Raw genomic sequence first — 6,000 nt, forward strand, 5'->3', positions numbered from 1 at the left:
CCTGCAGCCAGTGCCACCTGCAGGGACAGAGTCAGCCACGGGCTCCTCCTCCTTCCTGCATTTCCATTCTTTTTCCACACCATTTTCCCCACCCGGATAGGAGAGAAATTAGTGAGTCATTCAGAAAAGCTCTCTCCCACAGCTACCTTCCCTGGTTCCAGCCTACCAGGTTCTCATCTTTGCATGTCCTTAAAATAGCTCCTTTCTCTTGGCAAACAAATTTCCATGGAGACCCAGCTATGGGAAGGCCCAGAAGCTTTCTGCAAGGCAGCAAACTCAGCTCCCAGCCTTCACTCTGACAGAGACCCTTTATAATGCAAATGTGTGTTCTCACCCCCACAGACACTGCCACCCACGAAGGTCCCATTTTGGGAAATCTGAACCACCCAGGGAACGCACTGGGAGGTTGAGTCTAGGTATAGGCAATCTAGTTTCTTGTTATTTTCTGACGGGCTGGCTGGCCTGCACTGGTGAGTTCTCTCTCAGGTCACAGCAGACCGAACCACTAGGCTTACCAGTGACTAATCTCACAGCAGGCATACCCAGCTCATGCTCTTCCTCCATGCACTTGGCCACACATGTTGATGGCGTGCACTGGGCCTTGGGGGTCAGTGCTTCTATTGAGGTAGGCCATGGGTGGGAGGGATCCTGGACTATGGGAACAGATAGAATGGGGCTTAAATGTCTTTTATTTCCTAAAACTATAATCTTGCACAGGTTTCTTAGCTTTTCTGAGCCTCAATCTCCTCATCTGTACAATGGAAAGAAGGCTACCTGGTGTGGTTGTCGAAGATTCACTGAGCTCATCTCTGCAAAGCCCCTGGCTCGGCGCCTGGCCCTGCTGTAGGGGTTCAGTGAGTGTTATCCCGTTCCCTCATCCTTCGAGACAAGGCAGTGAGGGAGGGCACCGTGCACAGCATCGGAAAAGAAGCAAATAGAAGAGCTTTGGGGATGCAGGAACGTCCAAAGCAGAGGTAAAGGCAAGAGCACAAATTCATAAACAAGGCAGGCCATCCAGGGGGCAAGTCAAGGCTGTGAAAAGCCATGAAGAGCAGGGAGATAGATCAGGCTAAGGCATGGATAACTGAGGCCAGGAGGAACTAGATGAGGCCAGGTGGGCTATTTGAGGCTAAGGAGGAGCTAGTTGAGGTCAAGGAGAGGCGAGGTTAGTTGAGGCCAGGAAGACTAGTTTGAAGCCAGAGGTGCAGGTGGATTCTCTAGCTACACAGAGCACAGCTGCTCAGATGACCTGAGCCAATGGGAGCAGACCCAGCGGACGCATAGGAACACTTCATGGGGCAGTGCTGGGCAGTGTTTCTGGCCACCAGGGACATGTAGGCAGGTCCAGTCACCACAAAGCAGTTTTGTGCCCCACGGCGGTTCTGGACGCACCTGTCCCTGCGAGATTCGGCTCCTGCACTTGTCTCTCCCTCCTTCCGCTTTTTCTTCCTCCTTCCCTAACCATGTCAATGACTTGCAGTCCTGCCTCATTCTGCAGGGAATGGGGAGCCTTGGGGACTCCGGAGCACACAATGACGTGCTTGCTTAGCATTTAGGAAGGTCGAGAATAGGGTAAGGCCAGCAAGTCTCGGGGGTGCAAAAGGTAACCGACACTCACTCTCCAGTGCTCACCCTGAACTTGCACCACCTCAGATTTAAACATCCCCCCCACCCATCCCTGCCTTGCCTCCCCTTCATCCAAGCCCTGCAGAGCAGGCAGAAAAGTGAAAGTTAGATTCCAGAAGGAGCCGAATTCCTGTGGCTGAAAGGTGGCAACGCTCCAACCCGCAGCCCTGGCAGGGCCTTGGAAGAAGGAAGGGCTGGAGGTGCAGGCGGAAGAGGCTGTCCTCTGTATCATGTGGAATCCTGTTTTAGTGCACGGGCTATAAATTGAATTTCCAGGCCTTATTTAGAGTACATCCCCAGAAATGGTTTGTCCTGCTTCTGCTATTTTTAAAAAGCACTCTGTTTAGGTAGTAGTTGAGAGCACAGACTTGGGAGCCAAACTGCTTAAACACATCAAAAATGTGCCAGGCTGTGACCATTGTGCAGAAGAAGGCAACATGCCCAGCTTCCAGAAGAGGCCGATGCACAGGCCAGCAGTTACAGTGCCAGGTGGTAAGGGGTATGCAGACAAAAGCCCCCGGCCATGAATTTCCTTTCGGGATTAGCTGGGAAATGTTTCATGATTTAGTGTTAGTATTCAGAATGATAACCAGACTGGTGCTGAGGATCTTGGACTCTGGGGTCAGAACACTTGGGTTCAGCCCCCAGCCCTGCCACCTGCCACTGACTGGCAGGCCATATGACCGTGGCTAAGTACTTAACTTCAGTTTCTCCATCTGTAAAAAGGAGATGATAATGACATCAACCTCACGGAGGCCTTGTAAGGATTTATTTTTTTATTTTTTTAATTTAATTTTATTTATTTATTTTGAGACGGAGTCTCACTCGGTTGCCCAGGCTGGAGTGCAGTGGCACAATCTTGGCTCACTTCAAGCTTCGCCTCCTGGGTTCATGCCATTCTCCTGCCTCAGCCTCCCGAGTAGCTGGGACTACAGGTGCCCGCCACCACGCCCGGCTAATTTTTGTATTTTTAGTAGAGATGGGGTTTCACCTTGTTAGCCAGGATGGTCTCGATCTTCTGACCTCGTGATCCGCCCACCTCAGCCTCCCAAAGTGCTGGGATGACAGGCGTGAGCCACCGCGCCCGGGTGGCCTTGTAAGGATTAAAAGGCATGCTAATGTAAATAGCCCTGGCTGCAGGTAAGCACTCAATACATGTCACTGTTATCAACATGATGCTCTCACAAAGACAACGTAATTCTCCGTGTTCCCACCGCAGCCTCGACAGCTACAAGGCCACAGTTTTTACCATTTACAAGCCCTTCTCAAGGTGACTCCTTCGTTTCTGGACTCAGGGCCTGATCCTGGCCCCAGATCTGACAAGCGGCAGGGCCTTGGCCAGGTCACTCCTGCAGGCCACACCATTTGTGACACCTGTGACATGAGAAGTAAGGCCCTGTGCCTGCCAGGAGCGGCACGGCACCTGCAGCAGCACAGCCACCAAGCACAGCCACAGTCCCAGCACCCATGTGCCGGTGAGGTCCATCACTCATTCCCCATCCTCGGATGCCTTCTACAATCCGGTCTACAGGACCGGAATCCTGTCCGACCACCGATGACTCACACAAAGCAATGGGGGACCTGGGACAAGTGTGCCTCCATCTTGCAGGCTAACTCCTGGAGGAACTAACCCATGCGGAACTGCTCCCCACAGGGCAGGGGTTCTGGACCGAGACACTACTGACATGTGGGGCTGGGTCATTCTTCGGTGTGGCGCTGGCTGGTGCACCGCTTAGTGGCATCCCTGGCCTCTGCCCACTAGACGCTAGAACCCACCCCCAGACATTCCCAAATGTCACCATCTGGCAGAGAGAATGGCAGAATCACCCCCAGAAGTGGACAACTGCCACAGAGCAGTTCTGAGAAAAGGCTCCTCCTTCCTGAAGAAGGTGAAGATCCGAATTCTGACACCAAACACACACAAATACGCACGCATGCACACGTGCAGGAAGCTAGCAGGAGGGAGGTGCCCCGCACAAATCTGGAGAAATATCACAGGGCTCGGCTGGGCGTGTTGGCTCACGCCTGTAATCCCAGCACTTTGGCAGGCTGAGGCAGGCGGATCACGAGGTCAGGAAATCGTGACCAGCCTGGCCAACGTGGTGAAACTCCGTCTCTACTAAAAAATACGAAAATAAGCTGGGCATGGTGGCGGGCACCTGTAATCCCAGCTACTTGGGAGGCTGAGGGAGGAGAATCACTTGAACCCCGGAGGCGGAGGCTGCAGTGAGTGAGATCACATCGCTGCACTCCAGCCTGGGCAACAGAGCGAGACTCTGTCTCAGAAAAAAAAAAAAAAGAAAAGAAAACAAAGAAAGATCACAGGGCCCGTTAGGCTCCTTCCATTTCAAGGGGCGAAGATGCAGCAGGTCACCTCAGTGTTTCACGTGTCCGTGTGAAAAGACCACCAAACAGGCTTTGTGTTAGCAACATGGCCATTTATTTCACCTGGGTGCAGGCGGGCTGAGTCCGAAAAAGGAGTCAGCAAAGGGTGGTGGATTATCATTAGTTCTTAGAGGTTTTGGGATAGGTGGTGGAGTTTGGAGCAATGGTTTGCAGGCAGAGGGTGGATCTCACAAAGTACATTCTCAAGGGTGGGGAGAATTACAAAGAACCTTCTTAAGGGTCGGGGAGATTACAGAGTACAGTGATCAGTTAGGGTGGGGCAGTAACAAATCACAATGGTGGAATGTCATCAGTTAAGGCTATTTTCACTTCTGTGGATCTTCAGTTGCTTCAGGTCATCTGGATGTATACATGCAGGTCACTGGGGATACGATGGCTTAGCTTGGGCTCAGAGGCCTGACACTCAGGAGATGGGTCTGTCACCAGGGTGCATGGAAGTGAGGAAGCCTCCACTGTCAGGACATAGAAGCCCCTGGTGAGCTCAGAGCCAGCCCAGGGCCCCGCATCCTGTGTCCTGTCAAACTCCAGAGTTTCCTCCTCCCTCCTGATCGATTGCACCACAGTGGCCGCTCTGCTGCTTCTCCTCACTGCTTTGTCCGCCCTCCTTACCCTCCGCATATTTGGGCCTCTCTGGGCATATCCTACATTGAGATCTGCTGGGAAGGCTGGTTTGGGGATCTGTAAATCTCCACCTGTCTTATTAGTTTGGATTCCCCAGAAACAGACTCTGAGTCAAAGATTTGAGTGCAAGGAAAGTATTTGGGGATAACTCAGGAAACACTACAGGAGCAAGGGAGTGAGGATTTGAGGCAGGAAAGGGAAAGAAGCCATAAAGAACTGATACAGAAGAGATTACTGCCGGACACGGTGGCTCACGCCTGTAATCCCAGCACTTTGGAAGGCCAAGGTGGGAGGATCATGAGGTCAGGAGTTTGAGACCAGCCTGACCAACATGGTGAAACCCCGTCTCTACTAAAATTAGAAAAATTAGCCAGGCGTGGTGGCACATGCCTGTGTCCCAGATACTGCAGAGGCTGAGGCAGGAGAATTGCCTGAATCTGGGAGGCAGAGGTTGTGGTGAGCCAGGTTCGCACCACTGCACTCCAGCCTGGGTGACAGAGAGACTCCATCTAAAAAAAAAAGAGAGAGATTACTTAGTGTCTCATGTGTCCGTGTGAAGAGACCAGCAACAAGGCTGTTTATTTCACCTGGGTGCAGGCGGGCTGAGTCCGAAAAAGGAGTCAGCAAAGGGTGGTAGGATTATCATTAGTTCTTAGAGGTTTTGGGATAGGCGGTGGAGTTTGGAGCAATGTTTTGGGGGCAGGGGGTGGATCTCACAAAGTACATTCTCAAGGGTGCGGAGAATGACGAAGAACCTTGTTAAGGGTGGGGAGAATGATGAAGAACCTTGTTAAGTGTGGGGAGAATGATGAAGAACCTTGTTAAGGGTGGGGAGAATGATGAAGAACCTTGTTAAGGGTGGGGGAGAATGATGAAGAACCTTGTTAAGGGTGGGGAGAATGATGAAGAACCTTGTTAAGGGTGGGGAGAATGATGAAGAACCTTGTTAAGGGTGGGGAGAATGATGAAGAACCTTGTTAAGGGTGGGGAGAATGATGAAGAACCTTGTTAAGGGTGGGGAGAATGATGAAGAACCTTGTTAAGGGTGGGGAGAATGATGAAGAACCTTGTTAAGGGTGGGGAGAATGATGAAGAACCTTGTTAGGGGTGGGGGAGATTACAAAGTACATTGATCAGTTAGGGTGGGGCAGAAAAATATCCCAATGGTGGAATGTCATCAGTTGAGGCTATTTTCACTCCTGTGGATCTTCAGTTGATTCAGGCCATCTGGATGTATACGTGCAGGTCACTGGGGATATGATGGCTTAGCTTGGGCTCAGAGGCCTGACATTCCTGTCTTCTTATATTAATAAGAAAAATAAAATGGTAAAGTGTTGGGGTGGCGAA

Source organism: Homo sapiens, chromosome 2, assembly GCF_000001405.40.
Source record: "Homo sapiens chromosome 2, GRCh38.p14 Primary Assembly".
In the NCBI taxonomy this organism is placed as follows: Eukaryota; Metazoa; Chordata; class Mammalia; order Primates; family Hominidae; genus Homo; species Homo sapiens.